This window comes from Homo sapiens, chromosome 20, assembly GCF_000001405.40.
Source record: "Homo sapiens chromosome 20, GRCh38.p14 Primary Assembly".
Lineage (NCBI taxonomy): Eukaryota > Metazoa > Chordata > Mammalia > Primates > Hominidae > Homo > Homo sapiens.
In genome coordinates this window covers 56,965,727-56,986,221 of record NC_000020.11, presented here as the reverse complement: position 1 = coordinate 56,986,221, position 20,495 = coordinate 56,965,727, and the positions used below count along the sequence as shown (strand labels likewise).

The following is a 20,495-nucleotide window of genomic DNA, read 5'->3' as shown; positions in this document are numbered from 1 at the left end:
AAAGACTCCCATAGCATGCAGAACTGGCCTTGCATGGGGCTACAAACTCTGAGGTTGCCAATAGAACCACAGAGTTCGAGAGCACATGACCGTACCTGCTTCTCAACAATGAACAAGCTGGAAAATGCACAGGGGGTTGCAGCTGCAGTAAACCCCATCTCTCACATCCAAAAGGGGCAGGACAATGGCACCTGCCTCACCTTCCAAATTCCACACAGGTACATCCATTTAGCAGAATCTAATTCACATCCAGAAATCTAGCTGCAAAAGAGTCCAGGAAATATGATTTTCATCTTTATAGCCTCTGCCTTACAAGCAGGGATGCTAGAGGGAGGGTGGAATGGAGGTGGAGCATATTCATCAGAACACCTACCATGCTAACCTCGTGCAATTATATTAATGAAAGTAGGAGTTGTCTTGGGCTTAATCTGTACCAATTTTATTTTCTTCTTTACATTTTCATGTACAAAGACTACACATATGTGTGTATAAATTTTTGAACAAAAAGCAGAGTTGTTTCAAGCTGAATTGAAGGAGAAAGCAACCCTCACCTTTACTCCTCCCCAAGAAAGACCGAGAGACATCTCTTTGGAAGTCCCAGGGCTCATAGTAGTGGAGTTGAAAACCTCAACTCTGTGTTAGTTTGTTGATAAAAATCCACACTTCTGTAGCACCTTAGAATTCAGGTGCCAAAGTCAGTCAGCATCCCACTTGCCACTTTATTTATGACTGAGTCATGGATGAATCACTGGTTTGGCTTCTCTGTGTATCAAGAATAATGCAAGGAAGAAAATTAGTCAAGAAAGCTCCACCATAGGTGTCTTTTTTTAAAAAAAGCAATTGTAAATCAGATTCCTACCTGCTTGGCAAGTTTTCCTTCTCTAATGAATCCTTTTTGATTTCTCTGTGTGCTTCAGGTAGTTACTAGGTACACTGATTGTCTATTATTGATAAATTTTGAAGTCTAGCCAGGAACATTATGCAAGTTCCTTGGCCAGGACTCAGTCCTGTTACTGCTGAAAATGATTCTTTACAGCTCTTGGCTCTGTCTTCTGGGTTCTTGCTTCTAATCCCTGAATTATCTTTTCTTTTTCATAAAAGTAAACGTGTTTTTGCAGTTGAGTAGTTTATTTGCCAATAGAAGTCTTCAGTTCATCTTGTAGTGTTTCTTTTCTATTCAGTCAAAGCTGGCAATGTTTTTGCTAGTGAAATTCTCTTAAAATTTTTGCAAGTGTCCTATGAATCTTATTGACATTCACTCTGTTAGACAAAAGCTACACCCGCAAATCTCTTTTCTACTTTAGGATGCTATGAAGTGGCTGAAAGACTACACCTTGCATAGTTCTGAGGTCTAAACAAGAAAACCTTGCAGCCACACCTTAGTTTCATCTTTACGCTCTGTTTTTCTGGCTGTACTTTGGATTTTATCTTTGTCTCAAAATGTTTTTAAAATTTTCACATTGTCTGTTACCTTGACAGACTGGGCATTTTCAAACCCTGCAGTTTCTGCCTCTTTTGTAATAAATAGGTTTTTTTCTTCTTTAGCTTATCTTTCCTCTGATTTTTACTCAAAGTAGCAACGAAAATCAAGGTGGCACCTATACCACTCTGCCTGGAAATCTTTTTAGCTGGATCACCCAGTTCAGTAGGTACATTTTCTATTTTCCATGTTAACAAAATGTGCTAGATGTTCTGCTGTTCCATGGGTAAGAATCCCCTTTCTTCCAGCTTCCAGTAACATGTTCCTCAATTTTCTTCAAGATCTTACCAATAGCCTCCTTGAAGGCCATCATATTTCTGAAAACAGTCTCTTTAAGACCATTTAGGCTTTCCCTCACACTCTCTTCATGGTCTCTACAACTTTTTCCCACTCTTGGTCCCAAAACCACTCTCATATTTTTAGATTTTTGTTACAGCAGCATCTTGCTTCTAGGAACTAAATATTTATTAGTTATGCTTTGCTGCATAACAAGTTACCCCAACACTTAGGAACTTAAAAGAAAAATAATTGTTATCTCTTCTAGTTTCTCTGGTTCAAGAATTTGAGAGCACCTTGGATGGAATGTTCTGTTTTGGGAGCTCTAAGGGTGCATTCAGTTTTTAGCTGGGCTACATGCATCTGGCTGGAGCTAGGGACCCACTTCCAAGATAGTTCATTTCCTTGGCTGGCCAGTTGGTGTGGCTGTTGCCCAGCCTTCAGTTCCTCTCCATATGGGCCTCTCCACAGAGCTGCTTGAGTGTCCTCACAACATGGCAGCTAGCTTCTCACAGAGCAAGCAATCCAAGAGGCCAGGGCAGAAGCAGCAATGCCTTTTATGACCTGGCCTCAGAAGTCACATTATAATTTCCACTGTAGTCCTGATTCAACATTTGAGGGACAATATTGAGGAACAACACAAGCACATGAAGACCAGGTACTGCCGATCATCGAGGGCCATCTGCAAGGTTGGCTACTCCATCAGGAAGCTGGGAAACAAAAGTTATTTTAGAAATTAAAGTGAGAGTGCTACCTTCAGAGGGAGGACAGGGTTCCCTGTTGGAAGGAAATACTAGAAATGGAGTTTTGACTCCCTCTCTGAGCTTTCCTCTTCTTCTAGAATGAGTGTGAATTATGTATGTGCAGGGGAGTTTGATTGGCAGCTCCACTTAGCAGATTTGGGGCCTTTGGCAAGTGGCTATGTCTCTGGACCTCAGTCACTTCATCCATAAAACAAAGCTAATAATAGAACTTACACCATAGAGTCACTTAAAGATTAAATGAGAACATGTATATAAAATATTTACAAAGGATCTGGATGCAAAGTGCTTAGTAACTGTTAGCTGGCAATACCACAGCATGCAAATACAAATACTGCTCACAAAACACACCACAGCAATATTGGGGTTCTGACTCCATTGAGCTGTGGTTAGAATTTCATACAGGAACAGCAACTAAATGAAACATTAATTTGTTCATTCTCCCTTCAGATAATATCTGTGGTTCAATAGTTTCTGGGTGTTTTTAAAAGCCAATCCATCTATCAGCTAGTAACATTCTCAGGTTATAGTTGTTCTTTGCTACCTTAAAGAATTTGACATTCTTGTGATAGCAATCATACTATTGCTTTGCATTTATTCTGTTAAACAAATAAAAGCAGTAGACCTCAGTGTCATTGAGGAACAAGTACAGACTCTGAGCTGGAGGTGGGTTTTTTGGTGGGAGACAGGGGTCTCGCTCTGTTGCCCAGGCTGACGTGCACTGGTGCAATCATGGCTCACTGCAGATTCGACCTCCTGGGCTCCAACAATCCACCCCCTCAGCCCCCCAAGTAGCTGGGACTACAGGTGCACACCACCACTCCCAGCTAATTTTTGTGTTTTTTGTAGAGACAGGGTTTTGCCAAGTTGCCCGGGCTGGTCTCAAACTCCTAGGCTCAAGTGATCCTCCTGCCTTGGCCTCCCAAAGTGTTGGGATTACAGGCATGAGCCCCAGCATGTGGCCAAGCTGGAGGTTTTAAGGCCTCTATCAATTGGCTTCCCATTCCCCATCAGTAAGAACCTGGCTGCACCCACACAGGTCAGAGCTCTGCAGTAGGCATTCAGAGAAGAACACAGTGGAGGAAAAGGCCTCACGCCTTCTCCGTGGGGTTCCCAGTGGAGCTGGCCACACTGGACAACTACAAAGGCACTGAACACTGGGGAATCCTGAAGGGCCAACATCAAGGTCACCAACTTGAAATGCAGCAGCCCAGTTGGGGGTGAGCCTGTCACACCATACAGTGATGAAAGGCTACACAACAGGAACCACGTGGTATAGTGGTGAACAGATTCAGCTCTGGGTTCAAATTGCCTGGGTGCAAAGCTTGGCTCAAGCAATGACCTGTGGACGGCCTTGGGCAAATTTCATGACACCTAGGCCTCGATTTTCCTCTGTAAGTCTGTAAAATGGGGATGATGGTAATGATAGCCACCTCACAGGGTTGGAAATAAGATTATGCATGTTATTAAAGCATATTTTTAAAGACAAAATCATGACTCTTCTATAAATCTAAAACAAAGATTTTTACTTAACTCTTAAAATTAACCAGGCACTCAGTAAGATGTTACAAATAGTTCAAAGGATAATTCAAACACACACATAGATAGGCAATCAGAAATGCTGAAATGAATTTACCAATAGATGCAGAACTAGTTAATAGTCACAGAGCAAAAATAGTGTTTCCAGGGACAAAACATTTGCATTTCTACAGATGAAATCATCTGGCCGGCGCGGTGGCTCAGGCCTGGAATCCCAGCACTTTGGGAGGCTGAGGCGGGTCAATCACCTGAGGTCAGGAGTTCGACACCAGCCTGGCCGTCATGGTGAAACCCTGCCTTTACTAAGAATACAAGAATTAGCCAGGCACGATGGTGCACACCTGTAATCCCAGCTACTTGGGAGGCTGAGGCAGGAGAATTGTTTGAACCTGGGAGGTGGAGGTTGCAGTGAGCTGAGATTGCAACACTACACTCCAGCCTGGGCAACAGGATGAGACTATCTCAAAAAAAAAAAAAAAAAAAGAAAGAAAGAAAAGAAAAAAAAGAAAGCATCTGTATTACTATCAATAAAGACAATGAAAAGCAACGGCTCTTATAGAATCAGATAACTAAAGAGAATGTTAGAGATTTAGTAATCTTTTTCTGTCTATTTCATAATTCCTTTCTGACAGTGTAAACCACTTAGCACACGTCAAGTCTTCATAAACATCGTGATTGTGTTTGTTATTTCTTGCAAAGCAAGATTCTTTCCTACCCATCCTGTATTTTAGGGAAGGGAAGGAGGCAGAGAGGGTGGGAGGAAACAACAAACCAAGCTCATAACATTTTTTTGGCTGAGTTTGACACAGTTTGAGGTTAGGCTAATTTAGAGTTTTGGTCGGGGGTCCTCTTCAACTCCCGGGTTTGTGTATCATTAGCTTGGTCATTAGCTTCAAAGACTCCGAGCCTAGATTGTGGCTCAGTCCTATGGTCTGTCACTTCACACACAAACTCTTCCCTAAGCCTGGCCTGTGGACACTGAGCCGGAGGCTGGGATTCTTCAGTCTACACAGGTCGGCCAGGTCTTTGTCTTTACTGGCCCAAATCTTTGGAGGCCAGAGGGGATCGGGTTGGGTCACAGGTAGGTTCAATACATCTACTGAACGCACAAATGGAAATAGCTTAATCCTGCTGGGTGAAATGTTGTTCTTCATGGTGTGTGTAGTTTAACAGTGTGTCTCTGTACACTTCTCAAGTTTACATCTTATAGCCACAGGCTTGGAGATTGCATCTCTCACCGCTGGCTCCCTCAACACCCAAAGCACAATCCTGCCTCCAGCCTTTTGTATGTGCTCTTTGCTGCTAAGAAGGCTCCCCCGCCCAATTGTCTGCATTCAGGTCCTAGCTCAGTGTCACCTCCTCAGACTTTCCCTGCCCCTCCTATTTAAAGGAGACCCCCATCACTTCCCATTCCTTTCCTATTTTTCTTCTTCCTAGCATTCATCTCTCCCTGACACTATGTTACCTATTCATGGTTTATCATCTGCCTCTCTCACGACAGCACAAGCTTCACTCAGATGGGAAGTGTTTCGTTCTCTGCGGTTTCCCCACTGCGGAGGACAGTGCCTGGCACATACACACAGGCTGATTATCAATCACCAGAGATGTTTGCCATCAGAAGGGTTTTGGAGTTTGGGTGTTTTTCAGATTTTGGATATTTATAATATACTTACCAGTTGAGCATGCGTAATCCCCAAATCTGAGATCCCGGCCAGGTGCAGTGGCTTATGCCTGTAATCTCAGCGCTTTGAGAGGCTGAGGTGGGAGAGTCACTCGAGGCCGGAAGTTTGAGACAGCCTGGGCAATACAGTAGGACCCTGTCTCTAGTTTAAAAAATGAAATTAAACACACACACACACACACGCACACACACAAACTCTGAAATCCCAAATGCTCCAAAGAGTGTTTCCTTTGAGCATGGTGTCAACACTCAAAAAGTTTTGAGCTTTGGAGCATTTCAGATTTTCAGATTAAGAATGCTTCACCTGTAGCAGGTACTTAATGTATCTGTTGAATGGGTGAATGCAGGAGTGAGTGAATCATAACTTGCAGTCATGTCCTCAGTAATAATCGATATCCCTTTTGTGGGCCTCCTGCTTGCTACAGGCAGCTGCACTTCTTCATTCTTTGCTTATTGTCTACAGTTGCTTCTGCACTCTGTGGGCAGAGTTGAGCCATTTCCACCCTATGCTCCCCCAAGCCTGAAAGATTTACTATCTGGCCCTTTACAGAAAATATTTGCAGACATGTCTTAAAATGTGCATAGAGATGGCTGGGCACGGTGGCTCACGTCTGTAATTCCAGCACTTTGGGAGGCCGAGGTGGGCGGATCACGAGGTCAGGAGATGGAGACCATCCTGGCTCACACAGTGAAACCCCATCTCTACTAAAAATACGAAAAATTAGCTGGGCATGGTGGCATGCACCTGTAATCCCAGCTACTTGGGAGGCTGAGGCAGGAGAATTGCTTGAACCCAGGAGATGGAGGTTGCAGTGAGCCGAGATCGCGCCACTGCACTCCAGCCTGCGCGACAGAGCCGGACTCCATCTCAAAACAAACAAACAAACACAAACAAAAATGTGCATAGAGTCAAATCTGGCTCCTGCTTAAAATGATTTGATAGATTCCCATTGCTCCTAGGATCAAGAATAAAATCTTTAGCATGGTCCCAATGCTCTGGACAGCCCAACTGTCCAGCCACACTGCCTTCAGTCCTTCTGTCACACCAAATTTCCTCCTGCCCCCGGGCCCTTGCACAACTGTGTGCACTGCCTCAACCACTCAGCCCTCCCTCCCACCTCTGTCTTGCTACCTCCTGCTGATGCATCTGATCTGACCTCCACAGTCACCGTTCGACAGACACCCTCCCTGGCTCCCCTGAGAGATCAAAGAGACCACACCACCCTGCAGCTCACCTTCAAAGATTGAGTTTTAGGCCCCTTTTTTAGATTATTTAACATCCTTCTCCCCACGCGCCCCACAAGGGAGGGCCATGCTGCTTATATCCCAAGGCCCAGCACAGAACCTGGCACAGAAGAGACCTCCTCAGTGTTCATTTGTGGAAGTGATCACGCTCACACATGGGTAGAGGACTGCCACTTTACACAGGGTCTTGTTCTGTCCCCCAGGCTGGAGTGGCCTCACAGCTCACTGCAGCCTCCAACTCCTGAGCTGAAGGGATCCTGGGATCCTCCCGCTTCAGCCTTCCAAGTAGCTGGAACTACAGGCATACACCACACGCCTGGCTAAAGTATATCTTTTTGTGTTTTGTAGAGATGGAGCCCCACTATGTTACCCAGGCTGATCTCTTACTCCTCAGCTGAAGTGCTCCTCACACCTTGGCCTCCCAAAGTGCTGGGATTACAGGCGCGAGCCACTGCGCCCAGCCTGGGACTCTGTTCTACACTCAGTCATGAGGGGAGATAACAGCTTGGCAAAGTCCCCGGTGGAAATCTCTGGATCCTTATGGTGTGGAATAGTATCAAACACACAGCAGGTGCTCACGGCAGGTGGCATCCTGTGCCCGTGCACTGACCCTGATATGGCGACGTGGTCCCTGCCTGGGAGAGCTCACAACCTGGTGAGACGGACACGTGGGTTACCCAAGCAACGCAGCATTCGCGTTTCACTGTTCTATCATGTGTTTTGCTGTTTTGTATTGTTTTTGTGTAATCTCATAGGTCAGAAGTCGGGACTCCATGGCCGCTCAAGGTTTAGGGTAACTAAAGGATCCAGATGGAGCTGGATCACAGCTTTCCCACTGTCCAAAGATGGGTGTTCAAGGTGGTGGACATTTGGGATTTGAGATGGCCTGAGTGAACTTCCCACGGCTTCCCCGCAAGGCTGGAATTCTGGGCACAGGGAAGTCACAGCAGATCTGTGGGTCTCTTGGTGGCTGAGGAGCCATAGCCTTGACCTCCTTTTGCCTCAGTTTCCACATTGGGAGAGAATGGGGGGTGCTGTTGAGATGCATAATTATGACTCGTTTGCAGTGAGCCTGGGGCTGCTGGGATGAAAGTCTTCATGTGTGTCGTATATTTTATTGTTATAATCACAGCAGACTCTGGAGAAAATTCAAAGAGATCTTTTATAACCCAAATTATAGAAGTTTCTTCATTCAGGAGGGAATATCCCAGAGTAATTAGTGAGGAAACTGGGAATAGCCCTGCCAAGAGCCTCTCAGTCGTTTTCCCCAGAGGGAGTAGAACTTTCTGAGGAAAGCTGTTTTCCCCATTGGAAACAAGAGCCGGACTCCACACAGGACAACTCGGTGACCTCACCAGGATGGGTCGCTGGTCTGTAGAGCAGAGGGAGGGAGGAGCTGCAAAGCCAGAGGGGGTGCACTTGGACCCTGTGAGGGATCTGGATAACATGACCTTCGTTGTTCCTGGGATGTGGGAGGTCATCCAGAGGACTGAGCTGGGCATTTCCTAAGGGGTGACATTTCCTCCAAGGATTAGACCAACTCCAGTGGCAGTAAGGGGTTTTCAGAGAGGGACAGAGGGGCTCCCACTAGTGGCAGGGTGATGATGGGAATGGGTACCTTTTCACTTGAGTTGAACCCACCTTGTGACGGAGCAGTGTCCCCTGACCTCATCCCAGGCCTGGTTAGTAAAGAAGGCTGCCAGCCTCTCTGCCCCACTTCAGATAGGAATGCATTGAGCTGCAAGTAAAAGAAAAATCACTGCTTCTTACATGATGGGAACTTGGACCTAGGTGGCTGCAGGGAATTCAGCAGTTCAATAGTGCTAGTGCCACAGGTTCCCTTGGTCTTTCATTCATGGCTGGGAGATGGCTGAAGCTACCTCAGGCATCACCCTTGAGCTCTTGGTAGGAGGAAAAAGGAACAGATGGTGCCAGCTGCACCTGCGCTTCCCCAAGAACTGCCTTGGGGCCTTTGTACAAGCTGTTCCCCCACCAGAGCATGCTCTTCCCTTTTTGTGATGCTGTCATCTCCCACCAATCTTGACCTTTCCATTCCCAAAGGGTCCCCTGTCATTCTCCTTCAGGAGAACTTTCAACCGCTGGGATGAATTATTTGTACAAATATTCCTTTAATCTCTGTCTCCCCCACCGGACTGTAAGGCAGGCCGACAGGCACAGGGGCTCGGCTCACTCTAGTGAGCTCTGGGTCCAGCACTGTGCCCAGCACACAAAAGGGGCACAATGGGTGATTTCCATGACAAAGGCCTGGGTAGTCCAGAATCTCTGGGCTGTAGGCCTCAGTTTCCCTGCTTACCCCTGGTGGGGATCTGGTCACTGGATAATCACTCCTGTGAAGACACAGGAGCCCCACAGTGTCCACACACCTGTCATGGGGGACGGAATGAGCTGGGGTCTGGGGCTCCACATGTCGCTCAGGAAGTGCTGGGTTCCTGCCCTCTGGGGGCTGGCATTTGCCTCCCACTTCAGGGAGGAAAATGATGGAGGCTGATCATGCAGGGCAATGCCCCAGAACAGGACTTTACGGCACCCCAGAGAATGCACAGTCCAGCCAGCCGATGGCCGAGAAAACCGTGGCCATTTCCCTCCTTTTACAGGATAGTGATCAAGACCCAGTTAGGGGAAGGGGCTGAACATGCCAGGCCCTTCCTCTCCTGGATGCTGGCCACTTTCCCACACTCGTGCAACAAAGACGTGCTGGGCTCTGCTGTGTGCCAGGCCCTGGCTTGGTGCTGGGGATACACTCATGTGGGAGGCGGGTCCCAGTCACACGGTGCTCACAGGCTGGTGGGACAAAAACAGGCTACAAAGAACAAGGAGAGCAGAGACACACACTAGGCCAACCCGCCCGGGGGGATGCCAGTCTCTGGAGCCCAAGCTAGGCCAGAAGAGCAGACTTGTCTGCCCCTCCGTGCTCCTCCCTTATCTGACCCCCATGCTCCTCCCACATCTGACCTCCTCCTGTTCCTCCCCTATCTGATTCCCAAGTTCCTCCTCCATCTGACCTCCTCTGTTCTTACCCCATCTGACCCTCCATGCTTCTCCCCGATCTGAGCCTCCATACTCCTCCTCCATCTGACCTCCTCCTGTTCCTCTCCCATCTGACCCTCCATGCTCCTCCCTCATCTGAGCCTCCATGCTCTCCCCCATCTGACCTCCTCCTGTTCCTTCCCCATCTGATGCCCATGTTCCTCCCTCATCTGACCTCTGTTCCTCCCCATCTGACCCTCTATGCTCCTTCTCCATCTGACTTCCTCCCGTTCCTCCCCTATCTGATCTCCTGTTCCTCCCTCATCTGACCCCCACATTCCTCCCCATCTGTGTCTCCATATTCCTCCTCCATCTGAACCTTCATGTTCCTCTTCCATTTAACCTCCTCCTGTTCCTTCCCCATCTGACCCCTCATTTTCCATCTCCAACTGGTCCCCATGTTCCCCCCATCTGACCCTCATGCTCCTTCCCTGTGGGATCTTTAACATGCTCACCCAGCTGGGTGTGGTGGCTGATGCCTGTAATCCCAGCACTTTGGGAGGCCGAGGCAGGCAGATCATGAGGTCAAGAGATCAAGATGATCCTGGCCAATGTGGTGAAACCCCGTCTCTACTAAAAATACAAAAATTAGCTGAGCGTGGTGGCAGGCGCCTATAGTCCCAGCTACTTGGGAGGCTGAGGCAGGAGAATCACTTGAACCTGGGAGGTGGAGGTTGCAGTGAGCCAAGGTCACGCCACTGCACTGCAGCCTGGTGACAGAGAGAGACTCCATCTCAAAAATAAATAAATACATAAAAAACATGCTCACCCAGGCATCATCTGGTCCCGTGGATGTGGGACCTAGAAGAACATTTCTTGCAAACACTTTCTGACTTTAGTTCAAGACTTGAGAAGAAAATTCATGTCTTAAGTCATAGGGAAGAGTCTTCAGATATTTTCTATCCTTCACTCCCCAAAACCCACTCTTCAGACGAAGCGTGGGAGGAAACTCGGAGTGCAGAGGAGTCTCAGCCTTTGGAAATGGGGAGTGGGGAAGACAAGCGCTTTGGAGTCTTCTAGAAGTCAGCATCCACACACATTTTCTCACCGACAGAGATCTGGCATGGGACAGCTTCTAGGTTGTTGTGAAACCTCCACAGGCGCCTGTTTTTCCTGTTGGGCTCATTTGCATGGAGAAAGACACAGGTGCGGGAGGTTTTGAAACTGGGCGAAGGAGCGCAGAACCCACACAAAGCCAAGCCCAGCTTCCACTGGCAGCCAAGGATCCCTGCTGGCGGTGTGGGGCTTCCTGCCGCTGTCCTGACTTTCACGGCTTGAGAGTCACCCCTGGAGACTGTGTTAGTTATTGGAGTTATTGCCCCTTCTGAAATCATAGATGCTTTTATAACCTCTTCCACAGAGGACAGTCTGTCAGCAACATCTTGGGTTGTGCAACTGGTGGCAATGCTATTGTTGCCCCGAAGGGACTGCATGAATCTCGTTAAGTGAAGAGGGTATCGCAAAATCTTCATCTCCGCCCAGCGGCATTGTCTTGCCCTGCCCCGTTTACCCCGATTTATCCTTTGGTCTTCAGTGCGCCTATTATTCACATTGAATGACGTTCACAGGAATCTGAATCCTTGCCCTGGACGTGCCTGTCCATTTAAGCCAGAAGGGGGCAGCGTTTTCCTGCCAAGTGAAAGGCTTTAAAAGCTAGAGAATTGGGGTGGAGGTGGCAGTGGGGAGCTGTTCCGGGGCAGCAAAGTCTGTGTTGGTTGTCCACACCACAGTAGTGTGTTGAAATGGCTTTGCTAACCCTGCATGACAGGTCTCCAAGAAGGTCGGAGGGCCCAGAGGGAATAACTGCAAAATCTACTCTCTCCATTCCTTCAACACACATCTGCAAATCAGAGTAGGAAAGCCAGGTGCCCCTTCTGTTCAAAAAGAAAAAAATCCTTCAAAGCAAATGATAATGAATGTGAGATGGGGCGCGTTGAGATGGGGCGCGTTGAGATGGCTGAGAAATTCATCTGTGATTTTACTTTCTAATGCACATAGAGGCTCAGCAGCGTGCTGGAGATGGTAGTAGAGACCTGGCTTTGAAAGCAAATTCTGCAAAGGTGTGTGCTGGGCGAGGCCATCCCTCAGAGCTTCCGTTTCTGCATCTGCAAGTGGGGATAACAAGAAAAGCAGCACTTCCAGAGTTGGATGGGAAATGAAAGCTCTGGCTCATGGGAGGCGCTAAGTGACTACCGTGCGTGCGTGCACTCGAGAGGTTAGATTTGTGGGTTTTAATTTTCATTCCTCGGCATAGAACACTTTTTTTCAGGGTGCAATCATACCCAGAACCACACAACACTGGCAATATGGATGGGAGACGTGGAGATTTTACATAATCTACTTAGCTTATCCTACAAATAAAAACACTGAGCTTATTTTGCAAATAAATGCAGCTTTAAGACGGATGCCCAGGCCTCCCCCTAGGTATGTCTACAACGTGTCTCCTAGTTAAGGATCCTGGCGCTGTCCCTGCTGAAATCTCAAGGACATGGAAACTGAGGCCACAAAAGGTGGAAGGAGGCTTTTCCATCCCGGGGGCAGTCCTGAGAAATCTCCAAGGACACCTGGGATCTGGTCGGGTTTGAAAGTCACTGGCTTTTGATCCTTGGAGAGAAAAGGAGGGAAAACACTGAGCTTCAGGGCCAAGGCCATTCTGCCCACTGAGCTTTGGGACTTCAGATTCCAGAGCCCTATCACTCACCCAGAGGCCTCGGGAGGTCCAAGTCATGCTGAGTTCTCAGGATCCAGCCCTGTGGCCTTGGCAGAAATGAGATCAAGTCTCTCATCCTCATCTGACTCAAGGGGATAGAGTCTGATTTCCAAGTACGGCTTCTCCTTTGGATGCGCCTGAGAGTTTGCCCAAGTCCCATTAGTCACTAACAAACCAAGAAAAGCCCAAAATGGAGGGGGGAAGCAAATTGAAGGCACCACGTTGGCACCTGTGCCCCCACCCCCACGCCTATCTCCCGTTTTCTGTTTAGCGGAGCATTTGCCAGGAGCCAGTTTCCATGGGACCCTCCTCACCAGCCAGTAAGGAAGACAGTGCTGAGACTGCAGGGGAAGCCATGTAACTTGCCCAGGGTCACACCCGGGAGGGGATGCAGGTGGCAGGTATGGTGTCATCTGGCACTGTTCTTTCCCTCAGCCTATGGGTGGGGGGTCCTGGGTGACACCTCGCCTGGCACTGAAAGTCCCACTTAGAAGTCTGTTTGAGGGTGCCTGCTAGGCCTGCCTTCTGCAGAGGCTGGAAAAAGCAGTCCCAGATCTGAAGTGGGGAAAGGAGCAACTGGAAGATTCCAAAATGAGCCCCTGTCATTTGCTTGGAAGGCAGGACAATTGTTTTCTGCATTTGAAAGGCCAGCTCCCTGGAGTCTGCCTTCACTGCAAAGGGAGCAGACTCAGACTCACCCCGGGCCCCTCTGCCTTCTGGGGCCCCAAATGGCGAGTGGGACCCTGTGCTGCCAGCCTGGGGCAGAGGGAAAGTGCCTGGAAGGCACTCCGCTCCCCAGATGGAGTCTGAAGTGCTCCAGCGGCCAGCTGAAGGTGGGAGACGCCAGGTTTTGCTTTAAAAACAGATCCAGGACAGGTACAGTGGCTCATGCCTATAATCCCAGTATGTTGGGAGGCCAAGGCAGGCAGATCTCCTGAGGTCAGGAGTTCAAGACCAGCCTGGCCAACATGGTGAAACCCCATCTCTGAAAAAATTAGCCAGGTATGGTGTCACGTGCCTATAATCTCAGCTACTCGGGAGGCTGAGGTGGGAGAATAGCTTGAACCTGGGAGGCGAAGGTTGCAGTAAGCTGAGATCGTACTACTGCACTTCAGCCTGGGTGACAGAGCAAGACTCCGTTTCAAAAAACAAACAAACAAACAAACAAACAAACAAAACAGACCCAGGACAGTGGAGCAGATGGATCTGCATTTGGATTCTGCCTTCACTACTTAACTGTGCACCTCTGGGCAAATAAGAGGGCCTCGGCATGTGTCACCTACTCCACAGTGGGCCTGTCTCTGGGCTGACACCTGACCATGCCTGTAATTCACCTAGCGCAGATCACGAATAAGCATCAGCATGAATATTCTCACTCCTGCCGTGCCTGGTTGGTAAAGCCACAACCATAAATCATTATCGAGTGTTCTTTGAGGATTGGGGCTGCTCAGTGATGCTGGCATTCCCACAAACCTTTAAAATCAGAAGGGTTTACCTTGGAGGTGAGAGTTTGGACCTCTTGTTTCTGTGCACTGTCTTGAGAGCAACCCGAAATTCAGTTACTCCCTCAGCCTTCTTCAACAGGTGGATGCAGAGCCCTCAGCAAACTCAAACCTATTTTCTAAAGCCTTGGGAGAATTGGCCAGAAAGCCCAGCTGAACCCTTGGGAGAGCTTTGAAAAGAAAGCAAATGCTTCATTTCTTTACCATTATTAGTATTATTATTCCCATTTTGTCCCCAGTAGAGAAGAGGAGGGTCCTGGACTGGCTCCAGGAGGACAGTGTCTGAGTGGCCCAGAGAAGTGGGGTGTGGGTGACAGACTTGAGGCCCAGCAATCTTCTCATCATTTTATTTCTTACCAGTGGCAAGATGGCTTCATTGCTGTTAGAACAAGAGCCTCCCCTCTCTGCCCTTTTAAGCCCAGGGAAACACTTGCCAATATAGAGACAGAGTAAACAGGGATTAGGACTCCTCCATCTAAAATCCCCAGAAAAGTCTTGGGTCTGAAACAGCTCCTGTCCTCCTGCCCCATGACAGCAGCAAATGGGCGATGAAGGGTTAAATCGCTCTGGATGGTTTTGGTTTTGCCACTTTCCATGACAGGCCCCTATCTATGGGCCTGATCAGACAAAGTGCACCTTTGGACACAGGGCACCTCCAGGAAATGTAGTTAGGAGCTTTCTGAATGGAGATGAGAATACACATGTGAGGTACCGGCTGCTTCGATGTAGTAGAGAATTGGGACCCCAGGATGGTGAGGGGCTTTGAGGTTAGGGACATCTGCATTCTAGTCCTGGATGGCCATGGCAGGTGACTGACCATCCCTGAGACTTCCATCCATCAAAAGAGGATAACATCTCCTTGGAATTGTACCCCTGGAACCTAAAGCCCTGTGAGGGCAGGCGGCTTGTCTGTCTTCCTCCCTCCTTGTTCCATCCCCAGGGACTTCGAACTGAGCCTAGCACACAGTAGGCACGTAATAAGCAATAAATGCCATCTATTGAAGAGTGGTTCTATCTGCTTTGCAAGGTGGTTATGATCCGCTGGGATAAAACCTTTCCAATGTCAGGTACTGAACAGGAAGCTCCTGTGGGCTGTTCCTTTCATTTTAAGTCCCCTTTCATGTAACTTCTTTGATCCAGCAAAGCATTGACAATTTCAGATGAGATGGCATCTACCAGAGAGCCTTGGGGTGAGCTGCAAAATGCTCTTGATAAATGTTTATAAACTCTGAAGTGCTTTGTCTAAATACTTCTACCCTCCAAAGAACTGAGCAGAGAATGTTCTGTTTTCATATACGTTACATCATTTCATCTTCACAACCCTATGGGATGGCAAGTGAATAGTGATTTTTAGAGATCCTGAATTATTTTATGTAGGCACCATTTTTCTGGACACTTTAGCATAACCTCCTCTTCTCCGATGTGGCCTCCCACACTTCTTCTGTGAGGGTTTTCCAGTGGCAAGAATAGAATAGCTAGGCTGGGCACTGTGGCTCACACCTGTAATCCCAGCACTTTGGGAGGCTGAGGTGGGCAGAATCGCTTGAGCCCAGGAGTTCAAGACCTGCCTGAGCAACATGGTGAAACCTCGTCTCTACAAAGATACAAAAGTTAGCCGGGCGTGGTGACACATACTTTCAGTCCCAGCTACTCAGGATGCTCAGGTGGGAGGATCACTTGAGCCCAGGGAGGTTGAGGCTGCAGTGAGCTGTGATCATGCCACTGCACTCCAGCCTGGGCCATGGGAGTGAGACCCTGTCTTAAGAAAAAAAAAAAAAAAAAAGACTAGCACAGCTGGGTGGGATGACCTGAAAACTAATTCAGCTGTTGAGCTGATGCCGTACATCCATTTATCCAACCTTTAAAGCAGAAGGGACTCATAACCACATAACCAGCATCATGTTTTAAATAGATAATAGATCAAGGGGAAGGGGAAATAAGGTTTAAAAAAAAGAAAATGCCAAGGCTGGGGAGAAAATGTGTAAAATCTGTGCTGTAAAGAAGAGGAAAGGAAGCCCAAATGGCCAGTAAATTCCATATAGAAAAATGAAATAAATTCATGGCATCAGGAATTTAAGAATGCAAAGGAAAACACTGGCAAAGATTTAAAAAACAAAACCAAAATAACCCCTGAGCTGCTGAGGAGGTGAGCGGGGTCCTTCCGACACTGCGGAGGGGTGGCAATGGCTGCAGCCGTTCAGGGGCACCTGGGAATGTGCATCTGAAGCTTGAAACAAATACATCCCCAGGCCAGACATGGTGGCTCACGCCTGTAATCCCAGCACTTTAGGAGGCTGAGGCGGGCAGATCTCTTGAGCCCAGGGAATGCAAGACCAGCCTAGGAAGATCCTGTCTCTACAAAAAAAAAAAAATTTTTTTAATTAGCTGGGCATGGTGGTGCACACCTGTGGTCCTAGCTACTCGAGAGGCTGAGGTGGGAGGATGGCTTCAGCCCAGGAGGTGGAGGCTGCAGTGAGCTATGATTGCACCACTACACTCCAGCCTGGGTAGCAGAGCGAGACCTTGTCTCAAAAAAAAAAAAAAAAAAGAAAGAAATACACACTTCTTATCCTAAGGAAATGATTGATCAGAAAAGCAGGCAGAAATACAGGTTTAAGAATATTTTCAGGTATTACAATAGCAGAAAAATAGGATACAACATAAATATCCAATCAGAGAACCCTAGAGACTTGGAAAATGTTAAAAAGTCATGCCGTAGGCCGGGCGCAGTGGCTCACGCCTGTAATCCCAGCACTTTGGGAGGCCAAGGCAGACGGATCCACCTGAGGTCGGGGGTTCAAGACCAAACTGACCAACATGGAAAAACCCCGTCTCTACTGAAAATACAAAATTAGCCAGGTGTGGTGGCGCATGCCTGTAATCCAAGCTACTTGGGAGGCTGAGGCAGGAGAATCGCTTGAACCTGGGAGGCGGAGGTTGAGGTGAGCCAAGATCGCGCCATTGCACTCCAGCCTGGGCAACAAGAGCAAAACTCAGTCTCAAAAATAAATAAATAAATAAGTCATGGCTTAAATGTAATCCCCTAAAAAGTAGATAGAAGCAGATAGACAGATAGTTTGGAAACAGCCATAACCAAAATATTTATGTGGGTGATTTTTATTTTTGCTTAGTATGGTTTTTTTTTTCTCAAATTTTCCATATGAACAGATTTTACTTTGTAATCAGAAAAAAAATCATTAGTTGTTTTATTTTTAAAGTAATGCTATAGGGCAGTATGGTTTTAGCATTCACGTTTATTTATTTGGAATTCACTTAGCAAAAGAATGGAACTAACCTTGGCGGAAGGTCTGTCTGTTGGCCCTGAGACTTAGCAGATTCCGCAGCTTCATTAGCAATAAAATAAAGCTCCTACACTCCACATGCATGGACGTGTGTGCAATGAAACGAGTCAATACACATAAAGGCACTTAGCCACTGCCTGGCAACTACCACAGCCCAGCACCGTTCGCTGCTTTTAGGATCATTATTGTTATTGTTGTTTCCAACGAGGAAAATAGAAACACTATGGGAGCCCATGATTAGGGAAGAATTTGCAAAGTCTTATGTATCCCACTGGAGATAAGGACTTGGATCGTCCAAAAGGGAAGGTCACGATGGGGTGAATAAATACTGGGAGGCTTCATAGGGGGCTGGAGGGAGGCTGTGAACCCGGTGCATGGAGAAGAGTGAGAATAAAGTGGAGGAGGTGGAGACAGGCTCTCGGGGAAGCAAAGCCGAGAGATGCCGTGGCCTTGGGCTGCCCACACTGCCCGCCCCCAGGACCTGTCCTGGGGCCAGACCAAGTCTTGCACCTGGGTCTTACAGGCACCCAACGCTACCCCCAGCCCCGCCCATGCTGTCCAACTGCCCATCGCTGATTGGACCAGGGCCTTGTGCTGGGAAGTGATGGGATGTGCTGATTGGACCAGGGTGGGGCGCTGAGATGCAGTGGGTTGTGCCAACCAATGCCCCCAGGGTGGGAAGCCCAGAAGGGCCTGCGGGATGGAGGTGGGCGTGGAAGGATGCCCTGGGGCCGGTCAGGAGCCCTGGCCCATAGAGGCAGGGTACCACTTGGGGTTCTGAGGACTTACACACTGTAAGGGGCCCAAGGAAGTCATAACCCTCAGATTCTATTTGGTAGAAATAATAGTATCTAACATTTATAACCTGAGAAAGTCAGTTTATAGCAAAGGAAAAAAAAATGCAGATTCCCTGTGACAGTAACAGTAATAACACTGCCAGGCTCCTCCGGGAACGCATGCACTCCCATTTAACCCTCACAGTCACCCAGCCCTGAGGTAAGACCAGCATCCCCATCTTCAGGGAAGCAGAGGCTCCAGGCTCCCAGCAGTTAAATGACCTGTTCAAAAGTCACAGCCAAAAAATGGCAGAGCTGGGATTCGAATCCAGGCAGTCAGACCCCCTGAACCCCAACAATGTGCAAAGTAGCTTTATAACATATCCCTGTTATGTGAGATAGCCATGGTGGCTCTGTTTCTTACAACCAGAAGCTGCAGATTTAAGCAGGGTGAACAGCAGGCGTTGCCTTTAGGAAGGAGAAAGGGGTCCATTTTTTTAAAAGGGTGAAATACCCTTGGTTTACTCCTGCCTAGGGGAGGAGAGGCTGAGTCAGGATTGACTCCTGTGCTCAGTCTTGTGCTGGCATCTGAACGGAGAAGAAAGAGGAGGCTGGGAACTAACCACTGGGCTGGGGAGACTGGACTATTGGGTCCTGAAGGTTTTGTTCAGGGCTGATTCATGGATGTTTAAACACTAAATCCTGAGAGCTCAGATGCTCTATTAGGCTAAATAGTGGCCACCTAAAGATATTGGGTCCTAATCCCTAGAACCTGTGAATGTGACTTTGGAGAAAAAGGCTCTTTGCAGATGTGATTAAGTTAAGAATCTTTTTGAGATAAGGGGATAATCTAGGCTTATCAAGGTGGGCCCTAAAGGCCATCACAAGTGTCCTCATAAGAGACAGACAGAGATTTGATGCACATAGAGGGGAGGACAAGTAATGACAGAGGCAGACTGGATGGATTCAGCCACAAGCTGAGGAATGCTGGCAGCCACCAGGTGCTGGAAGACGAAGACACAGATCCTCCTGTAGAGCCTGCAGAGGGAGGACGGCTCTACTGATACCCTGTGGTTTGGTTCAGTGTGTTATTCATTGTTTCTGATTCTGGCTTCCAGATCTGTGAAATACATTTATATTGTTTTAAGCCATCATGTCTGTGGCAATTTGCCATAGCAGCCATGGGAAACTAATGCAGACATTAAGCACAGTGGGGGATGTTGTGGAAAGAGCATAGGATGAGAAGTCCAAGGATGAGGACTCAAATCCTGGCTCTGCATTCTAGGGGGCCTGGAGCAATTATTTAGCTTTTTTTGGCCTTAGTCTTTTCATTCATGCAACAGAGGGGCTAATCTTGACTTATGTTCGTCAGAACTATTTTGGTTGCATGTGCTGGAACTCCAACTCAAACTGGCTTAAGTAAAAGATGCCAAGCAGATCCACGAAAGGAAAGAAAAAAAAAAGGGGGCTGGCTTCAGGCACAGCTGGATCTAGCAGCTCAAAGGCTATATCATTTCCTCTCTCTCCCATTTCCTTCTCTTTCACCTCTGCTTCTCTTGCAAGTTGGCCTCATGCTCTCTTCCTGCAGAAGGGTTTCTCCCACATGCCTTCAGACCAGATGAAAACGAGCTCCATTTGTGTATCTTCATAGCGTAATCAGCTCACATCAGTATTTAGAGATCCCAGGGAAGGCTCTGATTGGCCAGACTCATGACACATGTCTAGTTCCTGGGTCTAATCACTGTAACCAAAAGAATAGGGCATTAGGTTTGGCCTGGCCTGGGTCACAGGCCTCCCTGTGGCACAGAGTGAAGAGTGCCACATTGTCGTTGGTACCACCAGAACCACATTGATAGAGCACAGAGGGGTAGACCCTCCAAGTCAGAGTTTGGGGTGCTCTTACCAGAAATGGGAAAGGGATGCAAGGGCAGGTTAAACGGGAGACGTCCACTACATTATGTTGTGGAGCTGTGGCAAAGACCTACTGAGTTAGCACGGATGAGCACGCCCCATGAGATGTAATGACTGTAACATGTTCACTGTGATGTCTGTGATCTCAGCCAGCCTGACTCCACCCACGCTCTCCCAAGCCCTTGGTCTCAGCACCATTCTCCACCTCTTTTTCCCCCCTGACAATCCACAGGCCTGGCCTGTGGCTGCCTTAACTACAACAGA

At 48.0% G+C, this 20,495-nt stretch overlaps 1 long non-coding RNA gene across 5 annotated transcripts, besides 1 other annotated feature; it reads right to left on the bottom strand.

Annotated features, from left to right (window-relative positions):
* Positions 1–417: 417 nt before the first annotated feature.
* LOC105372683 (uncharacterized) lies at positions 418–11,587 on the bottom strand. Of its 5 annotated transcripts, XR_936898.3 has the most exons (4): positions 10,800–11,587; positions 8,624–8,720; positions 860–2,466; positions 418–762 (listed from the first exon to the last, which is right to left on the bottom strand). It is a non-coding gene; the product is annotated as an uncharacterized LOC105372683 (long non-coding RNA). The 5 variants fall into 5 exon arrangements; XR_936895.3 differs by having other exon boundaries at positions 418–2,466; XR_936896.3 differs by lacking the exons at positions 418–762; positions 860–2,466 and adding an exon at positions 8,082–8,487.
* Positions 17,603–18,112: an enhancer, noted in NCBI's record as "H3K4me1 hESC enhancer chr20:55543166-55543675 (GRCh37/hg19 assembly coordinates)". NCBI's record gives its function as "activates a minimal SCP1, AML or CMV promoter by ChIP-STARR-seq in naive H9 embryonic stem cells {active_cell/tissue: H9 hESC(naive)}" and the evidence as "EXISTENCE:reporter gene assay evidence [ECO:0000049][PMID:30033119]".